Below are 26,721 nucleotides of genomic sequence, written 5' to 3'. Positions count from 1 at the left end.
TGTTAATATTAATCATTGATATTGCTATCACTGCCTCTTATTTATTGAGTACTTATCTTTGACATTGTGTTGAATACCTTCTGCAAATGATCTCAGTACATGTGACAAGTCTTTGAGGTAGTAGCATTAGCCCCATTTTACAGATAAGGGAATGGAGTTTGAGAAATCTTATGGTCATGCAGTTGGCAACTGCTGGAGAGAGGGTTTAAATCTAGGTCAGTGTGGCTTTGTGCACACTGCTTTTTCTGCAAGTTGTTGGTAGGAGAGAGGTCACCTTAATTTACCAGAATTTTGTTTTCTGTAAAGAGAATGACTTTACCCAAGAGTTGAACATTCTCTTTCCAGAAATTTAATGAGCAGTTCTGCTCCACGATGGTGCTTGGAAGTTTAGCTAAAACTGCTGGTTATAAACTGAGAGCAACCTGTGTGTGGATTGAAAGGGAAGGGTGTGCAGTCATTGGTAAGCATTTTCCTATGGTGTGACTCTGACGGGCAAGGGTGCCATCGCTAAGATGGAAAGATACTCCTGCAAATTGAAATGTTATAAATAGGGAATGGATCCTTTGCTTTCCTGCTACTTGGGTCATTTTGAAAAATATTTGTTTAGTGAATAACGGTGTGACATGGGTTCTGCTTAGCAATGTAGTTTCAACTCACTTATCCTGAGAACTTGAGGACCTTTTAGGGTTTTCTTTGCTGTCAGCCTAGTTATTTGTATAGGGTAAGTGCACGGGCTTGTACCATCTGTTGTTAGTATTTCCTTTTTTCACTTTTCATTTCAGGTCTCTTAGAAACTGGTTTAACTCCGTGATTTGAGGGGTGTCAGAGGTCATGTGTTTGTGTGTGGTTTATCATACTGACTGGTAGCACTCGCTTAAGTAAGCTTTTAAACATCGCTTCGTAGGTTGTAGAGACTGAGTAAACTAGGAAAAGGCAAAGGGTGAGAGGAAATTATTTAATCATTTGTCCTGGAAAACAGGTTGGAATTCTGGTCTCCCAAATAACCTTTGGGACAAGACCATTGTTTGATTTCATCCTATACACGGCCAGGTCAGCTTGCCCAGGATTAGGAGAGGTGGGGGTGTTGGGAAGGAAGAAAGAGATTCCAAGGCAAATGGTAACAGGTCCCCAGAATAATTTAGCTGGATATTTTTGTTAATCCGTTTTGCGATGCTATAAAGGAATACCCAAGACTGGGTCATTTATAAAGAAAAGAGGTTTATTTCACTCATGGTTCTGCAGGCTGTACAAGAAGCATGGATTTAGCATCTGTTTGGCTTCTAGTAAGGCCTCAGGAAGCTTTTAGTCATGGCAGAACGGAAGGGCGGCTGGTGTGTCACATGGTGAGAGAGGGAGCAAGAGAGAGGGAAGGAAGTGCTAGGCTCTTTAAGCAACCAGCTCTGGTAGGAATTAACAGAGAACTCAGTTATCACCAATGGGACAATGCCAAGCCGTTCATGACAGATCCACCTCATGACCCAAACACCTCCCGTAAGACTCCACCTCCAACATTGTGGATCACATGTCAGCATGAGATTTGGAGAGGACATACATCCTAACTATATCATGATTCAATCTTTGCTATTCTTTTATGTGTAGAAGTCCATGACTCCTCTCTCCTCTTGGGTTTAAACCTTGCAGACCTGGTCAAGGAAAAATAACAAAATAGACAAGGTTTGTGTGTGTTTCCTCATTTGAAAAGCTCAGGGCTAATATTGTTTTTCAGCTTCTCAAAGACAATATGCTCTTCATCATTGTGTTTCTGGCTCAATGTCCTGACACATAACAGTTAAGGAATAAATGATTAATGAGTTTCAGAAGGATCTTGATTTAAACTAACTGTTCATTCATTCTAGTCAAGTTAGAGGGTAGTTGGAGCTAGCATTACATCTCAGTACTTTGAACAACAACTGAAGGATAGATGAGTTATTAAGAAAGAACAATTTAAACTTATGTAAGTTGTCAGACTAGAAGAACCTAGTGGGTGTAGAATTCTCTTTATGTGTCATTTCAATTCAATTCCCTTTGTTTATAGTATTTATGTATAGTTAAAACTAATGTGTATGTACCTGCTTGTGTTCTGCTTTTCTTAGTGCAGCTATTTTCTGTTATCTTACAGAGATATATTTATATTTTATCCGTTTAATAAAATTTATGGGGCATCTATTAAATGTCAGGCATTGCTAGACTTTGGGTATATGATATGAAAAACTATTCATGGGCTTTCCTTCTTGGACGTCGTAAAAGGGGTGATGCTTAATGAGAACCAGCCTTTTAAAGAACAGAAGGAAGAGTATGCCAGGAGGAAGGAACAGTATGTGGGATGGCCCAGAGGGAGGAAACAGCCTACATGTTCAGAGAATAGAAAGATTACGGTGGTTGCTGCTCAGTGAATGGGGACAACGGATCGAGCTTGAAAAGGCAGGCAGGGGCCATATCATACAGGATCCTTTAAGGGATCAGGACATCACTCAGAGTGCAGTGGGAAGCAGGGTAATACTATGACTTGAATGCAATTAAAAAAAATAAAAACTCACTGGCAGCTCTGTGGAGAATGGATTAGAGAAGGGGAGCATAGAAGCTGGAGGCCAGTTAGCACATTTTACAGTAATTCAGGGCAGAGATGATGGTGCTAGAGCAGTGACAATGAAGATGGGGATTACTAGATAGAAATTTTGGAGAGATTTGCTGATGGCGAGATAGGAAGGAGCAGGTGATATTGAAAGCAGTGATCAAGGTTGATTCCTAGGTTCCCACATTGAGCAGTCTATGGTGGTCTGATTACTTTGAAAGGGAAGGCTTGGGGAGCAGTGGGTGAAACTGAGAGGCCTTAAGTTTGGATGCGTGTTGAGTAATTTTGAGGTGCCTGTGATTCACGTCAGTTCAAGCCTTTATGGCTGCCACTTTTTAATAGCTCTATCCCCTCCAGTCGGCACTGTGTTGAGCCATTCTATTGTTGTTGGATGCTTGGCTTGCTGTCTCTTTGGTCTTCCACTGCAAGCAGCACTAATGAAGTTGTCTCTGTATAAACCAATTGCTCTTTTTCCTTTTTGGTTGTTTCCCCAAGGTGTGTTCCTCAAAGTGGAATTGCTGGGTCAAAGGAAATAAATGAACAGTTTTATGGCTTTTGCTGCACATTGCCAGATTGTAGTCCAGAAGAACTGAATTTGCCAGACTGTAGTCCAGAAGAACTGAATTAATTTAGAATGCCACCAGCCACCTATAAATGTGCTTTCTAGCCCACAAGCCTGCCAATATTGGAGTTTATAATTTTAATTTATTTATGCTGCTTTAATATAGATATGTCAGGGTCCTTGGGTGCAAATTTGAATTTCAATAGCTCCTAGGGATATCAAACATTTATCCATAGGATGATCACCTTTGTAATTATGTACTCATGTAGCCCTCTGTCATAACTATTGAGAAGGAGTTATGTTAGCCACATTTGCATGAATTCTTTATATACATTTTTAGTTTTATTTTACATTCTACTTGTAATATTATTATATTTAATAACATAAAAGTTGAGATTTATGTTTTTATTTTTGAGACAGAGTCTCGCTCTGTCCCCCAGGCTGGTGTGTAGGTGGCGTGATCTCAGCTCACTGCAACCTCTTCCTCCCAGGTTCAAGCGATTTTCCTCCCTCAGCCTCCTGAGTAGCTGGGATTACAGCGTGCACCACCCTGCCTGGCTAATTTTTGTATTTTTAGTAGAGGCGGGGTTTCACCATGTTGGCCATGTTGGCTGGTCTCAAACTCCTGACCTCAAGTGATCCTCCTGCCTCGGCCTCCCAAAGTGTTGGGATTACAGGTGTGAGCCACTGCACCCAGCCGAGATTTATATTTTTAAACCTTTTTCTTTGTGTCTGAGAATATTTTGTGTCTGAAAATATTTTCATTTTGTTGGTGCTGTTCATTTTAACAGAAATTGATCTCTTTGCAATGAACTATTCTGATAACTTTGAATTTTCTATGTGATGTTTTAAATATTGGGTTTGTTGACTTTTCGGACTTTAGTGTCATATTTGTGGTAAGAACTACATTAGTATGTTCTGCAAGATAGTAATACTCATTGCATGAGTAAAGCGTTTTATGGTCAAATATGTTTGCGGAGTGCTAGGTTCAACTAAGTCACCATTTCTGGCAGCTGTCCTGCAGGGCCTGCTGGAGCCCTCAGTAGGTTAATATTGATTGTGCCTTTCTGAGAGAAGATTCTAATCAGGAGCACTTTCTAAACTTTTAGACCAGGGGCTGGTAAACTTTGTCTGTGAAAGGCCAGATAGTATATATCTTCAGCTTTATGGGTCATGTGGTTTCTGCTCTAACTACTTAATTCTGTGTTTGAATGGTGAGAGCAGCCCTAGGCAATACCTAAGAGGTTGGGTGTGGCTGTGTTCCAATAAAGCTTTATTTGTGGACACTACAATTTGATTGTCATATAATTGTTATATGTCACAAAATATGATTATTTGTTTGATTTTTTAAAAACTATTTAAAATGTAAAAACCATTCTTAGCTTGTGAGCAATACAGAAACAGGCAGGTGCTGGAGCTTACTCACTCTTTTTAAATTTTTATTTATTTATTTTAATTTGGGACAGGGTCTTGCTCTGTCACCCAGGCTGTAGTTCAGTCATGTGATCGCAGCTCACTGTAGCCTCAACCTCCTGGGCTCGAGTGATCCTCCTACCTCACTCAGCCTCCTGAGTAGCTGGAACACCACTATACCTGATTCCTTTTTTTTTTTTTTTTTTTTTTAATTTTTTGTAGTGACAGGGTCTGCCTATGTTGCCAGACTGGTCTCAAGCTCCTGGGCTCAAGCAATCCTCTCTCCTTGCCCTCCCATGCTCACTCTTTTAAGACCGTAGAATCATTAATATCTCATGGGACTAGATCAGGGAAACTCACTGTGGGAAATGCTTACTTAAATTCTGCCCTAGTTATCTAATGTACTTATTAATAGTAAATCCCTTCTGCTCTCTTGTGTTTTCTCATTTGCTATATACCAAGTTTTTATTTTAAATGTTTTGAAAATGCTAGTGGGCCCATGTTTCTCTTTTAACTCTTTACTGTGCAGTCTGTATTTTTTGTTTCTTTGTTTGCTCTAAGTCCGGGATGGTTTGTTTCAGGATTATAGCTTTTAAAAATCTGAAGTCTTTGATACACTTCTCAGGAATTGAATACTTGCATTTTAATTGGGGTGTTTTAAAAGATTGTCTTGGCCAGGTGCGGTGGCTTACATCTGTGATGCCAGCATTTTGGGAGGCCGAGGCAGGCGGATCACTTGAGGCCAGGAGTTCAAGACCAGCCTGGTCAATATGGTGAAGTCCCGTCTCTACTAAAAATATAAAAGTTAGCTGGATATGGTGGCACACGCCTGTAATCCCAGCTACTGGGGAGGCTGAGGCACTCGAATTGCATGAACCCAGGAGGGAGAAGTTGCAGTGAGCCCAGATCGTGCCACTGCAATCCAGCCTGGGTGACAGAGCGAGACTTCGTCTCAAAAAACTCAAAAAAAAAAAAAAAAAAAAAGTAAAAAGAGAAAGGATTTTCCATCACTCGTTAGAAAATTTGAAAAATAAAAGTAAAAAACTAAAAGATTGTTAAAATATAGTACATTGTTAAGTTGGCGGGAGTGATAATTAAGATAACATTTATGGAATGCTTACTATGTGTCAGACACGTTTTGCCTGCTTTATCTGTATTAACAATTAATTCTCAAAACAGTCTTTGAAGAGTAGGTATTGCTAATTAACTCCTTTATACTAATGAGGAGGCAGAGACACAGAAGTGAGCCATTTGCCAAGGCCACCCAGAATTAAGGATTAAAAAAAACCAACGTGTTTTTCTACTTGCACACAAGGCTCAACACAACACCTTTGACACCAAATTCTCCAGCAGACATCAACTGAGTGCCCTCTAGTTCAATTCAGTTCTGACCTATCTACCCGGAAGTAGTGTCGGATCCCACAGTTTAAAGACTCAGTCACAGGGGACTGCCCCCAATATCTGATGTCAAGCATAAGCCGCAGGTTATTTTGCCTGTGCTTCGGCCTGACCGACTGTAAATCAAGGTTCCCACAACCCCTTCCTCAGGTTTTATTAATCTGCAAGAGCGGCTCACAGAACTCAGGGAAACACTTTACTTACTCAGCCTCCTGAGTAGCTGGGACTACAGGCGTGTACCACCACACCCAGCCCCAGTTTCTTGATAAAAGATATAATAAAGGATACAAATGAACAGCCAGATGGAGGAAATGCATAGGGCAAGGTGTGTGGGAAGGGGCATGGAGCTTCCATGCCCATCCCCATCCTCCAGGAATCTCCAGGTGTTCAGCTGTCCAGAAGCTCTCCAAACCCCAGTCCTTTTGGGCTTTTATGGAGACTTCATTACTTAGACATGATTGATTATATCACTGGCCATTGGTGATCAGCTCAACGTTCAGCCCTTCTCCCCTTCCCTGAGGTTGGAGGTGGGGTTGAAAGTCCCAACCCTTCCATCATACCTTGGTCTTTCTTATGACCAGCCCCTATCCAGAAGCTACCTAGCAGCCCCCAGCCGACAATCATCTCATTAGCATACAAAAGACACTATTGTGGCTGGAGATTTTAAGGTTTTAGGAATTGTGCACCAGAAACCAGGGACAGAGACCAAATATATATATTTATTATATCACAGTATCACACCTAGCTAGCACCTGGTAGATCTGGGCTGCTCGGCACACTATAGACTAAAATATTAATAGGTTTTGTTTATGCGTGCTTTTATGCTGGAGTTGCTGCACTGGCCAGAGTCATTGGTTTTGCCTTGGTTCACATGCTTTTCTTTAAATCCTTAGTGAGCACAGAGTAACATTCCTTCTGCATCTTTCCTCCTGTCTTTCATGGAATGCCAATTCACTTACTGCTTAGTGACTAAATAAATGGGTAGCCTACTCTTGGCTTCTTCATGTATGCAGAAGTCTTAGAAATAGTTATTTCTAAGGACACGGAAGGAGATGAGGTTCTGTGGCCCCAGGACTGAGTGCTGCTGAGTGTACACGCTCCTGCATTGCAGGTTCCAGGGAAAACAGCACCTGAGTTAAGTCTCACATGGCTTTTCCTTTTTCCAGTGTCCCCTGAGCTTGCCTCCTTCCAGTCCTGCAGTCAGCACATTCTAGCCTTGGCATCCTCTATATTCACCAGCTTTAAAAATGGTCCCTGCTTTTGCCTTAGCAACAGAAGACTTTTTTTTTTTTAAATCAGAGAGGATAGTAGGAAATGCAAGAGTTGACCAACATAACTGGGAACAGTTCTGTCTGTGATTTGTGGAAGCTCTGTCCTTGAAGCTTTCCTCTTTGTGCATTCCTTTTTCCCTGCTTCAAATCTACAGAATTCTAAACAGCCAGTGTCTTGATATTACACATTTAATGTGATGCTCAAAATAAAATGATCAGAAATTCTGGAAGGTCCATCTCTGCCTGGGTTTTGCCTTTAGATCATCTGTTATCATGTTTTAGATTCACCATCTCAGGAATAACTTGGTTGCATTATCATCTCTACGGTAACGGGCTTCCTCTTCAAAATATTAGTTTTATGCAGCATTGAAAAATTCTACAACAAACTCATAGGCAGTCTCTCTGCCTGCCCTTTATGAATAGAAAAAAAGTTTATTTCCGCCTTGACTTTGCTCATTTTCCGCTAAAAATTAGAATTTGATAGGGAACAAGAATGACAAAAATACGTTGTTTGAAGGATGAGGTCATGGAGTAAGAATTGTTAAGGAATAAATAGGCATCAACATTCTGACATGTCTTTGCAAATCTGAGTGCTTCTTGTCCTTAGTCAGGCCCATCTCTGTGTCCGAGAATAGAAGTGACAACAAGAGAGGTGTGGTGTGGCTCACCAGGGTGAATGCTGAGACCCAGGGAGTTTTTACTGTTGGTTATTTAGAGCTACCTCCTCCCTCTTTTGAAATTTGTGTTGTTCTGGGTTTACCTTTTAATCATTCAGTAGGCATTTATAGTGCTTATAAATCCTGTACAGTTTGGGATATTTGCCACATTTATCCATTGTTGGTGAAATAAATGTCTTGGATAAATGAAATTTTCCACATAACTAAAGTTTAAACTAGGATGGTGCATAGATAAGTTCTGGAGGATAATCTTATTATGCTGCTTATAATTCTAATCACCAAGTTAGTATCATCTTTTTTTAAAGAAATAAGAGGGGAGGCTGGGCACAGTGGCTCATGCCTATAATTCCAGCACTTTTGAGGTCTGAGGTGGCAGGAATGCTTGAGGCCAGGAGTTTGAGATCAGCCTGGGCAACATAGTGAGAACCCCTGGCCCCCCTCAAAAAAAAAAGAAAGAAATGAGGAGGGAATTTTTTAACTCTTTGATACATTTGCTTGTCACCTTAAGCACCCTGCAGAGTGTAATTCTTGTAAGCCATTTGTAGTTCTGTTAAAACAGAGTGATGTCCTCAGGGTCTTTGGAGATGAAATGAAGTATCTGCCCTTGTACTGAAGGGTATAAGGCCAGACTGCTTTATCTCTTGAGTTATTGTGGCTACATTGTGGAGGCTTTGGGTTTTCTCCTGCTCGCTTTTAAACCTGTGCGCAGCCGGGCGCGTTGGCTCACGCCTGTAATCCCAGCACTTTGGAAGGCTGAGGCAGGCGGATCACGAGGTCAGGAGATGGAGACCATCCTGGCCAACATGGTGAAACCCTGTCTCTACTAAAATACAAAAAATTAGCCGGGCATGGTGGCGTGCCCCTGTAGTCCCAGCTACTCAGGAGGCTGAGGCAGGGGAATTGCTTGAACCCAGGAGGCGGAGGTTGCAGTGAGCTGAGATCATACCACTGCACCCCAGCCTGGCGACAGAGCAAGACTCCATCTCAAAACAAAACAAAACAAAACAAAAAACCTGTGCACTCATCTTTAGCAACCTCCTCTACCACCACTTCTAATATGTTGGTTCTAATTATTTATGGTCTGTAAGTCCATTCATTCATTTATTCAACTAACACTTGTCAGACATTACCATGAGTTGGGTCCTTGAGGGCATGGATAGCACCAGTAAGTGAAATAGACCTGATCCTTGTCCACATGGAGCTTGTGATCCACAGGGGAAGACATGCTAAACAGAAAAATGGGTAAATACAGTATTGTGGTAGCCATACTGGGGGAAAAAATGGGAATGAGGGGATCTTGTGAAACCTGTTTTTATTAGTGGAGAGGTGGTCAGGGATGGCATTCCAGAGAAAGTCCTATCTTTGTTAAAGACTTTGCCTTTCATCCTAAGTCATGTGGGAAGTGATTGAGAGTTTTAAGCAGAGGATGAAAGGATGAGATTTGGAGTGTGAGTTGGAGTGGGTGTCAAGAAAGGAAGCCAATATCTCAGTACTCGTTGCTAAACTTTCAGAGGTCTGACGATTCTTGTGAGTGAGCTTCTGCTCTCTGTATTTTTTGACATTTCTTTTGACTGCCCTGTGCAGGTGTTGACAGACTTTCTCTGTAAAAGGCTGGATAGTATATTATCCAGCATGTAGTATATATAGTGTATTCTATAAAGGGCTGGATAATATTTTAAGTTTGCAGGCCATAAGGTGTCTTTTGGAACTATCCAACTCTGCCGCTGTAGCATGAAAGCAGCCATAGTCAATACCTACATGAAGGGCTGAATTCCAATAAACGTGTTTATAAAAACAATTGGAATGTGGGATTTAGTTTGCTGACCCCTGGCTTGGAGAATGCTTTGCTTCTTATTCCCACGATCTTCATTATTGAGGTAGTTGTGCAAGGGAGGAAATGCAATCTATGTGGTCGTCCCTGGCCTTGAGCTGCTTATAATCATTATGGGAAGATAAGTATATACACTTAAGTGGCCATCAGCAAACATCACAAGACAATATGTAATTAGGCACCAATATGATGAACAGAAACAGGAAATATGATGAAGAGTTCACTCATCTACTTGGAATCTGGGTGTCTGGGAATAGTTTTAAAGGCTTTACAGGGAAGGTGGAGCTTGACAGAAATAATTGTAAACACTTAGAGGGTTAGAGGTGAACACAACCTAGTCCAACTTGCAAATTTTAGTGATGCAGTGTTAGAAGATGAACAAAAGCAAATCACAGAACGCTATGTATGGACAGTCCCCTTTGGATATGTAAGACAAAACAAAACAAAAATCAATGGGAACAGCCAATTTAAGGTGTGCATGCATATATGTATGTATTATGTGTGAATGCTCAGAAAAGGGTCTGGAAAGATGTGCACCAAAATTCACAGTGAGTCTCTCTGGGAATGAGTGGATTTGAGCAGAGACTTAAATGTTTTACTTTATAGTTCCTAATTGTTAGAATTATTACATGAATGTTTATTTTCATCATAAAAAATACTAATTAATACAGGGCAACATTAAAACAATTAAAAGTACCAGATTGGTTAAGAGGCTGAGAGAGTGGTGCAGAAGTGCGATTGGGCAGTCTCCAAAATGTGTCTCAGAATCAGAGAAGATTAGAGCCCTTAGTTCAGGGTGTCCAAAACTTGGATGGGCATCAGAATCACTTGGAAAGCTTAAAAATAAAATGAACCAAAGCTAAAACCAAATAAATTCCTGGCCCCACTGCAGACCCACAGTGATCCAGATGATGGGGCTGGGGTGTGATTTTTTTTTTTTAAAGCTTCCCAGGTAATTTTGATGCTGCCTTTGAGACCCGAGGCTTTGGTGAGCCTCCGATCTAGTTTATCCAACTCTGTACAAGTGAAGGAATTAAGGATCTTGACCAGGTAGGACTCGGCGTCAGATATTCTGGCTCCCACTCTCTTGCACTTTTCAATGACTGTGTCCCCTGATTCAGGTGTTTTCCTAGCATTAGCTTTGGGTGGCATCTCACCTTGTTGTTGTGTTATACAGAAACTATTCTTAAATGCCACTTTTGAATGGGGTCCACCTCACCCCCATTACTCATTGTTTCACTCCCAGATCATCACTGGGAATGATTTCTACAGTGTTTTAATTTTCTTAGAAATCAGAGGGCTGCCACCAGGCGAGTGGGAAAAGCCCTAGTTTTAGATCATGAGTTGACTAAAAGGCCCTAGGAAAATGGATTTTCTCAGGTGCCATCTGAGTCTCTGTAAAGAGAAAGGGATGTTGCCAACTCTTCCTCTCAGCAGGGTTTCACTCAGGCGAAAGAGGCCATGGAGCAGTCCCTCCAGCTTTGTAGCACAGATTGGGTTAACTGTTTACTTCAGAATTGGAAGAGGCCTTCGAAGTCCCTCTAGTTCAGTGATTTTCAGACTTGTTTTAGGAAAAATCCCTCCTGCAAATGAATTCTTACTTGGAAAGCCATTAGCAAATTGGTAAAGTGGAGATGCTTGGTTTAGGCAGAGATGGGGGGCTTGGAGCCTACCTCCCATCCCTCCCTGGTCCAAGGAGCATCCTGAGAGCTGTGTTCTGTCCAGTGCTCTCTTAAGTCCTATTTGAAAACCACTGATTTCTTCCTCTTTCCCCTTCTGTAAGTAATCATTCACCAAATTCAGCTGACCTGAGCCCTCAAATCTGTCACCGTCTCTCCATTTCCGCATCCGCCACCCTAGTCTGAGTCACCACCACCTTCCATGTTGGTTTTTCACCCTCTAACTGGGTTTTCTTGTCTACTCTCCCGCATACCCCTTTCACCCTCTGCTCTGAAGCAGACAGCTTTTTGATTCACAGGTGCAATTATATGCCTTCTCCCCCAACCTATCATGTAAACATTTAATGACTTCTCATTGCATTTTGAATTAAGATCAGCACATGGAGACTCTTCAGATGTAACTGTGGCCACTCTGTTGCATCTTGAGATAGAGCCACAAGCTTTTTAGTTCCTGTGCTGAGCTTCCTTCTGCTTCACACTTTTGATCTGGTGTTCCCTCTGCCTAACCCTCTTTCACTGCTTCTTGCCTGGAGTTAATTTCTGCCTCTCCATCCTTAAGAGTGGTGACAAAATGTTTCTCTAACTTCCCTGAGCTAGGAAGCACCTGTTCAATTCCCTCTCATAGGATTCTGTATTTCTCTTTCTCAGCAGTGATTTCAATTCTAATTGAGTAATTACTGGTGTATTCTTTTTTTGTTCATCCCAGCCTAGAATGTAAACTTCATAAGGGCTGGAATAGAGTTCTCAAGATTCTATCCTCAGCCCATGGCATGCTGTCTTGCACACACCTATTAGGTCTTCAATAATTATTTGTCCAGTGAATTCATAGTGTCTAGTTTTTGCTAAATCTCATTTCTAGTGTTCAGCCTGGGCCCGACTGTGGAGGGATCATTGTTTGTTGGCTCTGCTTGCGGGAGCTGGAATTGTCTCTTGTTGTATGAGGTAATTTAAAGGTCCTTTTTTAGAGACACATTGTCTAAAGTGGGTTACCCAGTATGAAACAGTTTAAACAGGGCCGAGTTTTGCTTTAATTAGAAACTTGATCTGTTATTCCAAATGAACAAAGAGCTCTAAAATCCACTTACAGTCTGAGAAAGAGTGTTGGGGCTGTGGGGTTTGGAGGTGGGTTTTATGTATAGCTAGGAAAACCTTTTTTGGTTTTACTTTAGATTTAGAAGTGCATATTTCGGGGGAAGTATAGAAAGCTGTAGGAAGCCTACCCCAACTCCACACCCAAATCCACACATACTTGCTATTCATGACCTCCTGTGCTCATTCTGCAGAGCCACCCTTGTGAGTGTGTGTGTGGGTGTGTCTGACTGCCCATCCTCCCACACAGGTAGGGAGGCTGACTTAGATCACACAGCACATCAGAGTGATATTCATCGCCGACCACCGCTCCCTGCCCAGATCTTGGGTTCAGTTCTCTTCTTTCTTAATTGAAGTGTAACAACCTGCCACTTGGGTTACTAATACAGCTTTCAAACTTTCAGAACACTGTAGCTGTCTAAAACTGCTTTTGCATGTAGACATGCCACGAAGTACAGAGCAGAGCCACTTTTGCAACCTCTTGGGTTGGGTGTTTAGTAGGGAGATAGGGTCTAATCCTGTCGTTGATACTCTTTTGTTTCTTTTTCTTTTTTTTGAGATGGAGTCTCACTCTGTCGCCCAGGGTGGAGTAAAGTGGCGCAATCTCGGCTCACTGCAACCTCCGCCTCCCAGGCTCAAGCAATTCTCCCACCTCTGCCTCCCAAGTAGCTGGGATTACAGGCATGCTCCACCACATCTGGCTAATTTTTGTATTTTTAGTAGAGACGGGATTTCACCATGTTGACCAAGCTGGTCTTGAACTCCTGACCTCAAATGACCTGCCCACCTTGGCCTTCCAAAGTTCTGGGATTACAGGCATGAGCCACCGTGCCCGGCTGGTATTCTTGACAAATGTAACTTGGGTTCCACAGGATGGGTCCTTTTATCCAGTGCATCCGCTGTGCTCAGAAAAAGGTGTCTGAGGCTTATTTTCAAATAGAAGGAACAAGAAAATGAAAGGTAAAGTCAGAAGGGATAAGGGAAGACATTACAGAATTTATCATCAAGCAGGAGGTTTTTTCCAGGTTCTAAGATGAGGTTAAGTTTCTTAACAAAAGAATCAACAACTGTCCTTTTTTTGTTGGGGGAGGGTCTCGACAGAAAAAATGAATATACCCTCATAAGCTGAAAATTTGTTTTCTGTATTGTTATTTAACTAGATAGGCAGCTCTGGGACAGGGGAAGGGACTTCAGGGAAATACTTTTGATTCAAATAGTTAAATTTTGGGGTAGGAGAGAATTGAACCTTGAATTAAGTGTCAAGGTGCTAAAAAGACAGAAACTCTGATCACTGTGAAAAAAATTCTTGATTTATTCTCTTAGTCACTGGTATAGCAGCCAATTTAGAAGGAATTTGCCCTGCTGAGTAGCTGGTAGTTTGAGGCAGCCATTATTTCCTTGACACATAAACTTTGTGCATTTCATAAAGGATAGTGAAAACTGTTGGAACTTTTCAATATTCATTAATGCAGAAAAACTTTCTCTTAATATTCTTATTCTCCCCCAGTCTCTTCTCAGAAGGACCTCAGGATTTAGTCCCATGAATATAATTTCCTTTCCCCTAAGTGCCTGTTGATTCCCTCTTGCTGGGTCTAGCTTTGTGCTTCCTCTCCTGGGTGGCTGCAGGCCCATGCTTTCGTAGCTATGGTCTTCAAAGGCTGAGCAAACAGGGTGTGAATCTGAAAGCATCAACTCTGTTGTTTAAAGCACATTACAAAAATGCCAAGGGCCCGCCTCTGTTTTGACAAATAAATAAAAGTTTAGCTTCATGTAGGCAAAGCGTCTGAAAAAATCAGGCCATGACTGTCAGGTAATGCCAAGCAGGCAATCTGGTGCATGGAACTGGCAGCTTGAATGCATGCCTTCCTGGTTCCCAGTTGCCTTGTCCTAGCATCATGAAATGGCAGCTTAACATTGGGGTTGGGGAAAGGAAGAGAACTATTCAGCAAGTTATTTTCTTTTTCTTTTTTTTTTTTATGTTTGTTTCTACCGCTTTATTTTTATTTATTTATTTACTTAGAGACACTAAAAAGGGTATACAGATTTTATGTGTACAGCTCAACGATCTGTGACAAAGCAAACACACTCCAGTAACCAGCATCCAGATCAAGTTACGGAGCGTTGCCAACACCCTAGAACTCACCCCTCATGCCCTCCTCTAATCACTGTACCTTCTCTCCACTCTCCAAAGCAGTGTAACACAGAGATTAGCTCTGTTTTCAAACAAGCAGTTGGAATGATACAATGTGTACATTTTGTGCCTGACTTCCTTTACTCAACATTACGTTTGTAAGATTTATCCATGTTACTATGTGGAGCTGTATTAGTTCATTTTCATTGTTGTATAATGCATTATATGACCAAATGACAATTATTTATCCTTTCTGCCAACAAACGTGTGCTGTTTCCACCTTGGGAATGTTTTAAATAGTTTTGCTATAAGCGTTGTTGCATACCTTCTGGTGCACATATATACACATTTCCATTAGGCATGTGTGTATATACTAGGAGTAGGATTTCTGGGTCATAGCGTATACATTTTCAACTTCTGTAAAGAGTACCAACCAGCTTTCAAAGTGTGTGTTGCAATTTATGCCTTTATCAGAAATGTATGAGAATTCCAGTTGCTTCTCATACTCACCAAGACTTAATTTTATCAGATAGTCTTTTTAACTTTAGCCATTCTGGAGTATATAGTACTATTTCAATATGGTTTTAATATGCATTTCCTTAATTAATAATGAAGTTTTACGTTTTTGTCCTTTATTGGCTATTTGAATATTCACTTTTATAAAATGCCTGCTCAAGTTTTTCACCCATTTTTATCTTGTGTTGATTTTCTAGGAGTCCTTTACATATTCTGTCCACAACCCCTTTGTCAGTTATAAGAGTAGCATACATGACTTGAGCCACAAAATATGTGTATAAATTTGAAATGTAAATTTCAACTGATTTCTTACAGGTTTAGTTACCATTTCAGTTTTATAGTATAGAACTAAGCTAAACAAAGTATTTTACAAATCTGTGATAAATAATTCTTAAATAGAAAGAGTACATTTTTTATTAAAATACATCTTCTAAAGACAAGAACAGGGCAAGTTTTTTTTTTAATTAGCTCCCTTATCCTTAAATGAATAAAATACCCAATGTTAAAAAGTCAGCAAGTTATTTTCCTGTTGCATTTGGATTTTGACTAGTATACAATTTTTCTTTTCTTTTTTTTTTTTTTTTTTTTTTTTTTTGAGAAAGAGTTTCACTCTTGTCACCCAGGCTGGAGTGCAATGGTTTGATCTTGGCTCATTGCAACCTCCACCTCCTGGGTTCAAGCGATTATCATGCCTCAGTCTCCTGAGTAGCTGGGATTACAGGCATGCACCACCAAGCCTAGTTAATTTCTTATTTTTCGTAGAGATGGGGTTTTACCATGTCAGCCAGGCTGGTCTCGAACACCTGACCTCAGGTGATCTGCGTGCCTTAGCCTCTAAAAATGCAGGTGTGCAAAAATTACAGATGTGATGTAAGGCAAATTTTGCAAATTGCAAATTTTGCAAATGCAAAAATTACAGGTGTGAGCCAGTGCGCCCAGCCATATATAACATTTTAAATCTCAGCTACAAAGTGTTTTCACATACATATTCTCAACTGATTTTTATAATCAATTTGAGATGCATTGTCAGTTTCATTTTACAAATGGAAAAAAAGGAAGCTGAGGCAAAGGTCAGGCAGTGAAACCAAAGCATCACAGCCAGTAGATCAAGCTGTAGGGTGGGATCCAAGTCTTCGTTTCTCTCGTTCTACTGTGTTGCAGCATGCTGTCAAGAGGATGCAGTCCTGGTCGGATCTTTAACAGGAATGATGATGGTGGTGCTGGAATTGTTGGCCCTTTTTCTGCTCTGCTCCTATGTAACATCTTCTTGGTTTTTGTTCCTTTCCCTCCCCTTCTGTTTCTTTCAGCTTGGATTCCTTAGCACCACCACAGCTCAGCCAGAACAGAAGGCCTCGAATCTCATTGGCACATACCGCCATGTTGACCGTGCCACCGGCCAGGTGCTAACCTGTGACAAGTGTCCAGCAGGAACCTATGTCTCTGAGCATTGTACCAACACAAGCCTGCGCGTCTGCAGCAGTTGCCCTGTGGGGACCTTTACCAGGCATGAGAATGGCATAGAGAAATGCCATGACTGTAGTCAGCCATGCCCATGGCCAATGATTGAGAAATTACCTTGTGCTGCCTTGACTGACCGAGAATGCACTTGCCCACCTGGCATGTTCCAGTCTAACGCTACCTGTGCCCCCCATACGGTGTGTCCTGTGGGTTGGGGTGTGCGGAAGAAAGGGACAGAGACTGAGGATGTGCGGTGTAAGCAGTGTGCTCGGGGTACCTTCTCAGATGTGCCTTCTAGTGTGATGAAATGCAAAGCATACACAGACTGTCTGAGTCAGAACCTGGTGGTGATCAAGCCGGGGACCAAGGAGACAGACAACGTCTGTGGCACACTCCCGTCCTTCTCCAGCTCCACCTCACCTTCCCCTGGCACAGCCATCTTTCCACGCCCTGAGCACATGGAAACCCATGAAGTCCCTTCCTCCACTTATGTTCCCAAAGGTAACTTAACCTCATGAATTATTTATTTGAGGAAGGCTTTGAGCCCAGTGGAGGTACCAAGAGTGGGCTTATACCAAAGATGTTTTCTCCATTTCGTGTATTCCAAAGTCACCCCTTGGAGAGAGGCCTTCATATGGTGGCTAATTAAATCTGGCTTTTTTGGACTTAATAGAAACATGTAGACTCAGAATTTTTCTGTTAGGGGAGATCAGATATCTAAAAACTAGGTCACATCAAGCTATAAAATATGAACCAAGAGAAACAAGGACAGCGTGTGACCTTATGTAAGTTACTTAACCTCTTCAGGCCTCAGTTTCAAACTTGTCAAACAAATGAATAATTTAGATGTTTAAGGTTCCTTCCAGATCAAAAGTTTTCCAACATGGAGTCAGTCCCAGGTAGACATAGCCAGGAGCAGAGAAGAGGGAGAAAGGAAGAAAATACCATTACATCCGGAAGCGAGAGATGAATTTTGAATCCAGGTGGGGCAAAGAATGGGTAGGAAAGTTAGAAGCTCAGGAAATAAGCAAATTTGTATCAGATTGAAGGTAACTAGCACTCATGTCTGGAAAATAATAACTTTATTTTTTCCAAATGATTTTAACTTTACTCCTTATATCAATTATTCAAGTTTTCCATCAGAACCTCAAGCAGAATATAAAATTTATCCTTTATTTTCAAATCCTTTTTGATTTAATGTAATTTTCATGAGATGATGACCAACTTGAGTTGTTCCTCCTAGTGTCCTCTCATGCATGATTACATTTAGCCTTCATGATAAGCCTGTGAAGACAGCCATCTTACAATTGCCAGTTGAAATGAAGAAACAGCCTCCAAGAGCTCAGATGGCCACTCTAGCTTTGCTTAGGCCAAGTCCTGTCTCTTGGGACTCAAAATTCCCATCTCTCATACTTCTTAATGAAAATTACTTATGGAGGCTTCTCTGAGAGAAGTCTGCTAAGCTGCCAGCCCAAATCTTGTTTAATCTTTTGATAACAGATGCTCTTATTTGCTGACCTGTCCTACCAAGTCTTTCACCAGTCAAATTTGCATTTGAATTCTTTTTTTTATCTTAGTCATATTCTCAGTTTTACCACTGCATCATAAAATAGTCAAAAGGTGGGAGAAGGAGGATGGACAAAATAATTAAATTTGAACTGGTTCTCTGAAAACTCAAAATAAGAATTGATTAGATCTCTGCACATATATGTGCCTGCTCAATATGTGAAGTACAGGAGAAGCTGCTGTCAAGCTCAGCTGTTGGATCCTTAAGGTTGCCCTTGGTTTTGGTGTAAGAATGTGAGTTTAGTGGTTCAGTTCCATTTTTGCCTTCCACATGAAGGTGCCATTAGGGTCTTTATGAAAATGTGCAACACAATTTATTCTTAAGCCCCAAGGGTCATCTTATCTTTGATTATCTGGCCTAGCTTGGAGATGACCAGGGAAAGGAGGGAATGTATAGATCCCCAAATATGGAAAAGCTCTTCCCCCCTCCTTACTCTTTTTTCTAGGCATGAACTCAACAGAATCCAACTCTTCTGCCTCTGTTAGACCAAAGGTACTGAGTAGCATCCAGGAAGGGACAGTCCCTGACAACACAAGCTCAGCAAGGGGGAAGGAAGACGTGAACAAGACCCTCCCAAACCTTCAGGTAGTCAACCACCAGCAAGGCCCCCACCACAGACACATCCTGAAGCTGCTGCCGTCCATGGAGGCCACTGGGGGCGAGAAGTCCAGCACGCCCATCAAGGGCCCCAAGAGGGGACATCCTAGACAGAACCTACACAAGCATTTTGACATCAATGAGCATTTGCCCTGGATGATTGTGCTTTTCCTGCTGCTGGTGCTTGTGGTGATTGTGGTGTGCAGTATCCGGAAAAGCTCGAGGACTCTGAAAAAGGGGCCCCGGCAGGATCCCAGTGCCATTGTGGAAAAGGCAGGGCTGAAGAAATCCATGACTCCAACCCAGAACCGGGAGAAATGGATCTACTACTGCAATGGCCATGGTGAGCCTTCTCTCTTCTCTCCTTGCTCACAGATCTCTCTACCACTTTTTCCCTAGTCCCTGTTTTCTGAAGGAATGGGAATGCGTAGTTTGTGGAATCTCCTTTGTAGACCAAACACTACTTGATCTAGTCGTGTTATAGAAAAAGAGATTGACCGTCTCATTAGAAGTAATGCATTCAGAGAGAATAATCTCTCTTCCTCCTTTTCCCCTGGTACCTTTAAAACAGAAGAATGTTGTGGAATCAGAGACCTGATTGACTCCTAGGGACTTTGTTTGACCTTGTCATTTAACAAATGAGAAATTTGAGTTTAGAGAGGTTTGGCAACATTGATCCAAACAAGAGGCTAGTTGTTTTTGAGGACAGATGGGACGAGACTCCTGACTGTTGGAGCACTTGCTTTTGCTATACGATTAGGCTGTGAAGCAAATGAAGGGGACAAAACCCAACTTGTCATAAGTTTGCCATTTTCAGTCAGAACCTTGCTTTTAGATTCCTAACAATTTCGTCACATATATATTTTCCCCACTTAAATTTTAGGATCCCATGTCTATCAGGAGGGTAGGATGGTCTTTTGGATTGTAGACCCCAGAAGCATAATATGTCGGTCATCATCTGAGCCTCAGCATTACATCTCTTTCCTGGTAGTCAGCATGTGTTGAATACAGGCTGGAATATTTTGGCCTTTCCTCTTTTGAGGGCAAAAAATAGCTTATAGAACTTGTCCCAGAGCTAAGTTTGATCTGAAGACTGCAGTTTTCAGACTGTGCAGTAACTTCTCTTTCTTTAAATCCTAAATGAAACTTCAGCCCAGTTTTGATAACCCCATTCAGGTGTGTCCTCTCCCCTCAAAGAGAAAGGGGTATATCTATTTTTCTAAAAAGCAGTTTGGCTTTTTGGGGTCTTACAAATATTTATACCATTTGGCGTGGCAATTCCATTCTTGTGAATATATCATAAAGGTATAATCAGAAACACTGAAACAAAGATATAAGCACAAAGATCTTAAACTTTTAACCCAACATCATGTCTCATAGAAATTGAAAATAACAGAAGGACAGTTTTAGGGAAAAACTAAGTAAATTATGGTATATTCATAGAATGGAATATTATGTTGACATTCAAGATTTTATGAAGTTTTTGATTTTAGCCAGGAAAGTGTTTATACTAGGTTAAAGGAAAAAAACAAACACCAAACTACATACTTTGTAGAATATAATCCCAACTCTCATTAAACTTGAGAATAAGACTGAATGGAAATATGCCAAAGTGACAATTTTTTTTCCCCAGTGTGGTGGGATTTATGTGTGGGTTTCTTTTTTCTTTATTAGTTTTCTGTACTTTCCCCAAGTTGTCTGTACTAAGTACATGCCACTTCTATAACGAAACGTTTAGAAAAAGTTAAAAAAGTCTTGCAACTCATTTTGCTTCCCCTTATTGATTTGTGTAAATCAAGTTTGTCCATCCCATGACCCAGGACAGCTTTGGCTTTGAATGCAGCCCGACACAAATTCATAAACTTTCTGAGGGTTTTTTTTTTTTATTTTTTTTTTGAGACAGAATTTAGCTCTTGTTGCTCAGGCTGGAGTGCAATGGTGTGATCTCAGCTCACCACAACTTCACCTCCCAGGTTCAAGCGATTCTCCTGCCTCAGCCTCCTGAGTAGCTGGGATTACAGGCATGTACCACCATGCCCAGCTAATTTTGTATTTTTACTAGAGATGGGGTTTCTCCATGTTGGTCAGGCTGGTCTTGAACTCCCAACCTCAGGTGATCCGCCCGCCTCGGCCTCCCAAAGTGCTGGGATTACAGGTGTGAGCCACCTTGCCCAGCGTTTTTTGTTTGTTTTTTTAGCTTATCAGCTATTATTGGTGTATTTTATGTGGCCCAAGACGATTCTTCTTCCAGTGTGGCTCAGGGAAGCCAAAAGATTGGACACCTATGATGTAGATGGTCAAAAGTCAAGTGAAAGTCGGGCAGAGGCAAACATCCTATTTGGGTCTTATCAGACTAAGCCTGCATAAACTTGAATAAGACAACTATTTACTGGAAGCCTGTCTGGGGAAAGCTTCAATTCCCCCTTCTTTTTAATTAAAAAAAAAAAAATCTTTTTATTTGTACATAATTCCAAACTTTTGAAAAGTTGCAGCAACAGTACAAAGAATACCTACATACCTGTGCCCACATTTATCTATTATTAACATATTGCTCTTTTGCTTTGTCATTTGCTCTCTCTACGTAAAAAATACACCTATTGGCCCAGGCGTGGTGGCTCATGCCTGTAATCCCAGCACTTTGGGAGGCCGAGGCATGCAGATCAACTGAGGTCAGGAGTTTGAGACCCGCCTGGCCAACATGGCGAAACCTCGTATCTACTAAAAATACAGTAATTAGCCAGGTATGGTGGCACACGCCTATAGTCCCAGTTTTTCGGGAGGCTAGGGCAGGAGAATCACTTGAACCTGGGAGGCGGAGGTTGCAGTGAGCCAGGATCGTGCCGCTGCACTCCGGCCTGGGCCACAGAGTGAGACTTCATCTCAAAAAAAAAAAAAATCACATATAGATTTTATATTGTAAAATATGTATTATAGAATAGCTTATTATATATTATATAACATGTAATATATAATATATAATTATGTGCATATATACACATACATACATGGAAAAAATAATTTTTCTTAATTATTTTATGGCCTTTTATCCCCTGATACTTTAGCATGTATTTCCTGACAATAAGACTGTTCTCTTCAGAAAACATACTACAGTTTTCAACCTTAATAAATTTAGCAGGGTTACAATCCTTTGCCTTTCATTTGCCAATATTGTATGTTGACCCAATAAGGCCCTTGGTAGATAATATACTTTTTTTTCTCTAGTGTAGGATCCAGTCTAGGATCAGAATTGCATTAAACTGCCCTGTAAGTGCCTAGTCAGGATATTTGTTCTGTTGCAGATTTACCCAATTAGTAGAAAACCATGTGAACATCCTGATAGATAATTAAATATCTGGAACTGTCCTCTCATTATTCACTTTATTACAAAAGCAACTCCATTCCTTTAGTAGTTGCATTTATAGATTATGGTCAGCTACATTTTTAAACTCTCTTTTGCAGTCTGGTTTTTAAAATTCTTGAGAACACAGCAAGTTGTAGAGTAAAAACTGGTCCAGCAGCAGAAAGCAATTTAATATAATGACCTTAGACGTTCTTATGACCATGGTAACCTTATAAACTACTATGCCTGTGTCCTTAAAACAATATCCTATTTTGTAAAAATAATGGAAGTGCCAAATCAAACAAAGCCTGATCCTACTCGTCTGTGAAAGCAGTACCACAGCAATATGCTTTTCAAACTAAATTACAGTAGTTTCATTGAGGCATAACTATCTCTTCCAATAGTTTAGGCTTGTTCCTCAGATTTTTGCATTGGGATATTTATATTTAAGGTGTTTTTCTAAGGAAAGTCTTTTCTTTCCAAATTGCTAGTCTCAAACATGCAACCGGGTAAAATCCTATTACAAAGAGAGGTTCTGTTTAGTAAAGCTATTCCAGGTGCTCAGAGAGGCCTCTAGAAACAGGGCTTTGTTGGTCTGATTGCATTGAGTTCTGGCCAGCAGATAATCCCGTATAATAAGATCTTTTCCTGGTCCTTGTCTATTTCACACTGAATTGTTCATGAGGATAAGGTGGGAGGGAAATGGCTTAGCCTTGGGTTGTTTTCTATCAGAGGTCTTCTAAAACCTCACTTATCCCTGCCTACCCTCAGTAGAACAAGCCATGCTCCTGGATGCCATATACATCCTCCAAACTTTGAAGCTAGGCCATTGGTTTCTGTCTTTCTTGCGAACAAAAACCTCTTTTATTATTCAGCTCTACTCATCCATCTTTGTCTACCATGGACTTATAGTTTTTAAAGCTGAACTCCAGAAAGCTACAATCCTACTTTCATGGAGTCCTAGTATTGGAAACATAAGAGGAGGCCTCGCATGGCTAGGAGATGGAAGAATAAAGGTGCTGTGGTATTTTGTACTCTTTCTTCCTTTCTGAAGTCAGAGCAATTTTATGTTTGGTAAATGTTGGTATATGTTTGGGGACTGGACTGTGATTTCACGTAATGTATCTATTTCAGCAACAGGAATTGGAAGTATCTTCAGAATGTTTACATATAAAAATATAGTTAAGAGGTTGAAGTGTCAGCCAGATAAGAATATTGTTAATACTCAATTTGTCATGCTTTTATCGTTTTCTGAAAATGTATTTCTTTTTGTTGTATAACCTCAATGTAATGGGGTAAGTGGAGGGGGAGGGTCCAAAAATTTCAATTTAATTAAAAATTAAGGATTTATGTGGATTCACATTAATTGAGAGGTTACGTGGAAAACATTTTTTTATTTGATCTGTTTTGTCACAAAAGAACAAAAGTAAAGATAGTAGAATTTAATCCCTATACAATTGGCCATACATTGCACTGAGAAAAGTCACCAATGATCTGCAAACAGCCACTTTGTTCATTTCCTTAGAGCTATGGAGGCTACAAAACTGTATTCCAGTCCCAATTGAAAAACAGGGTAGCTGAGAACAGAAACCAATTGCTGTTTGCTCATTGCAGTTTCTAATTTGTGCCGTTACTATTTCCCTTTTCCTTCTTTCTTCCTCTCCTTCCTCCCTTCCCTACTTTCCTATTATCCTTCTCTCCCCCATTCTTCCTCCCTCTTTAACTATTTGCAAAAAGTAGGAAGTCTTGTTCTCAGCAACTAGTGGGCCTAGAAATTTAGAGGGGAAGTTTGAAAAGCAGGTGAGGAGTAGGAATTGCCCTGAAAGTACTTATGGATGAAGAAGCTCTGCAAAGTGACAATAGGAACAAAACATCGGCAGTTTCTGGCTTGGATCATATTTCCTTTTTCCTTCAGACTGTGAAGAAAAGTGAGGGAAAAAAGGTGAGAGACAAAGGAATTGGGTATACCTCGTTTAAACCTGCTCAGTTTCTCTGCTCTGCCTTGAGGAGACACTGTAGTAAGCATTTGATAGAGACAGTGATCCCACTTCACGTAGTTACCTGAGGCACATGCCATAGATAGGCAGCATCTCCTTTAAATCAACTGCAACAGGGATTACGAAATCAGTTGGGGCAGGCATTATTTCTCAAGCAGATTGTTTTGTATCCTCTACAGCAAAAGGGCAAAGGTCTTATTCTGTAGAACTGGATTCTAAGATGCAATTTCTTCATTCCTTTAGCTCTCGCCATCTGTCACTGTTTAACTCTTTGTGGCTATGTGGTTTGTCTCCCCACATAGCTTCTAAGTTCTTAGAGAGAAGACATTGGGTCTTACTGTATGTCCCCTGTGCCTGGAATAGGGCTTGAGGAGGGGTGGTCCAGAGCTGAGCTAGCACATATGGTAACCACTAGCCTCATGAGCTATTTAATTTAAAACTAAGATTAACTGAAGTTAAAAATTCAGTTCCTCAGTTGCACCAGCCACATCTTAAGTACTCAGTAGCCGCACATAGCTTGTGGTTACCATATTGGATAGGACAGATAAAGGACATTGCCATCATCATACAAAGTTCTCTTGGATAGCACTGGTGTAAAGCATCCATAAACTAAGTAATCTACATATGCTTTTAAAGGCCAGATTGTTTTAAAGACATTGGATTGGTTTTTTTCTTGTTGATTTATACTGATGTTGGTGTTAGGGATTTAAACATAGAGACCTTCAGGTGGGTTCTTTATACTAAATTGCCATAGATGGTAAGAATTATTTTTCAGAGCTAAAGGAAGCTTCCATAATAGCACTGCTTTAAAATATGCAAAAACTGACTAGGAAAAGATTGCTGACATCCCTCATCTGATTTGCTTATTTCAAAGTGAAACACATCAGCCCATGGACACTGGAGAGCAGGGTGATGCCAAGAGAGAGAACCCTGCTAATTCAAAGGCCAAGGCAGCTTCGTAAATGCTTAGGTGCTCGTGTTTAACTAGTGTGGAAATGGATTAACCTTGTGCGTGGCGTTAGCAGACAAGCATGAGATGCTTGTAGGAGTAATGTGGTTGGGCTGAAGTGGGAGTGAGGGAGGCACAGGAGATGAAGCTTTTGGGTAAGAAAGAAGCATCATAGACTAGAAATTCATAAACCTGGGTTCTAAAATTCTGGATTTGCCATTTCCTAGTCATGGACTCTCAGTTAAAACCTTTTACTTCTCTGGGCCTCTGTTTATAATGTTAGAAAATTTTAAAAAATGCATTAGAATATGCAGTTAGGAACAAAGACTCTGGAGTCTGGTTTCCCTTTGCTTACCAGCTGCGTGAGCCAGGGCAAGTTACTTAACCACTCTGTGCTTTAGTTTCTTCATGTGTAATACAGGGATACTAATAGTACACAGGCTGTAGTGAGGATTACATACATGAGTGTGTGCCCAGTGCTTGGGACATTGCTGGCCACATGGTCCACAGTTCACAAGTGATAGCAGTGATGAGGACGAGGGTGCAAACGCTGGAGATGATGCAGAGGATGGATCATCATCATCCTCACCACTGACATCATCACCTCCTTCCTCTCTGGCAGTCTCAGTTTGTTTCCCGATTAAGTCACAGAAATGACCACTAGCAAGAAAGAAACATTCTCCTTTAAAATACTATACTTAGGGGTTGGGCGCAGTGGCTCACGCCTGTAATCCCAGCACTTTGGAGGCCGAGGCAGGCCGATCATTTGAGGTCAGTAGTTCAAGACCAGCCTGGCCAACTTGGCGAAACTCTGTCTCTACTAAAAATATAAAATTAACCAGGCGTGGTGGCGGGCGCCTGTAATCCCAGGTACTCAGGAGGCTGAGGCTGGGGAATCACTGGAACTCAGGAGGCAGAGGTTGCAGTGAGCCAAGATCGTGCCACTGTACTTCAGCCTGGGCAACAAGAGAAAAACTCCATCTCAAAAAAACAAAACAAAACAAAACAAAACCAAAAAAACTGTACTTAGGTAGGAGCAACACTGCCACCTTAAAGGAGCTTATTAGGAAGATGGGTTTCCCTCCATACCAGATATGATTATTAGCTTAATTAATTTACACATGTAGGCAGTGCTCTCTCAAATGGGCAGAGCCTCTGAGATCATCAAGCAAGACTCTTCAGTGGCTTTAGACTTGGATATAAATCTATGCTGTCCAAAACAATATTTTCCCTAAGCTATCTATACCATGGGTCAGCAAGTTAGGAGATATTTTAAGAGAATCTAGGAGATATTTTAGGATTATAGGCTGCAACTACTCCACTCTGTTTGAAAGTGTAGTAGTGTGAAAGTGGCCAGAGACACCATGTAAATTATGGGTGTGGCTGTGTTCCAACAAAGCTTTATTTGCAAGAACAGGTGGTTTGTCCTGCAGGTTGTCGCCTACCAGCATCTGGTCTATGCCATAGACTTGTCATCTCTTAGCAGCTTCTTCTCTTTCACCTTCTGCTGGCTTGCACAGCTTGGATAAACAGTTTGATTCTTGGAGGCTTTCTCGAATTTCAACAGTTCGAGCTCAGTTTTTCCTCTAGCAGTAACTATTTCTAAGTCTGCTGAAGGGGTAAGTAACAAAGGAGAACCATCAGCTATGAGTGGGAGCAAAAAAGGTGGCAGCT

At 41.1% G+C, this 26,721-nt stretch overlaps 1 protein-coding gene across 1 annotated transcript in view, besides 2 other annotated features; it reads left to right on the top strand.

Moving 5' to 3' along the window:
* Positions 1-26,721, top strand: part of TNFRSF21 (TNF receptor superfamily member 21) — a 78,374-nt gene that overhangs the window by 6,864 nt on the left and 44,789 nt on the right. The window contains exons 2-3 of the mRNA NM_014452.5: positions 16,447-17,098; positions 18,610-19,104. Of these exons, the coding sequence (NP_055267.1) occupies positions 16,447-17,098; positions 18,610-19,104 (1,147 nt within the window). The remainder of the gene's footprint in view (positions 1-16,446; positions 17,099-18,609; positions 19,105-26,721) is intronic.
* Positions 806-905: an enhancer, noted in NCBI's record as "active region_24658". NCBI's record gives its function as "activates an Ori minimal core promoter by ATAC-STARR-seq in GM12878 lymphoblastoid cells {active_cell/tissue: GM12878}" and the evidence as "EXISTENCE:reporter gene assay evidence [ECO:0000049][PMID:35858748]".
* Positions 16,608-17,807: an enhancer, noted in NCBI's record as "MED14-independent group 3 enhancer chr6:47252971-47254170 (GRCh37/hg19 assembly coordinates)". NCBI's record gives its function as "activates an origin of replication core promoter dependent on BRD2, BRD4, P300/CBP and CDK7 cofactors, and independent of MED14, by STARR-seq in HCT116 cells {active_cell/tissue: HCT116}" and the evidence as "EXISTENCE:reporter gene assay evidence [ECO:0000049][PMID:35650434]".

Source organism: Homo sapiens, chromosome 6, assembly GCF_000001405.40.
Source record: "Homo sapiens chromosome 6, GRCh38.p14 Primary Assembly".
NCBI lineage: Eukaryota > Metazoa > Chordata > Mammalia > Primates > Hominidae > Homo > Homo sapiens.
This window is presented reverse-complemented; position numbering and strand designations above follow the sequence as displayed.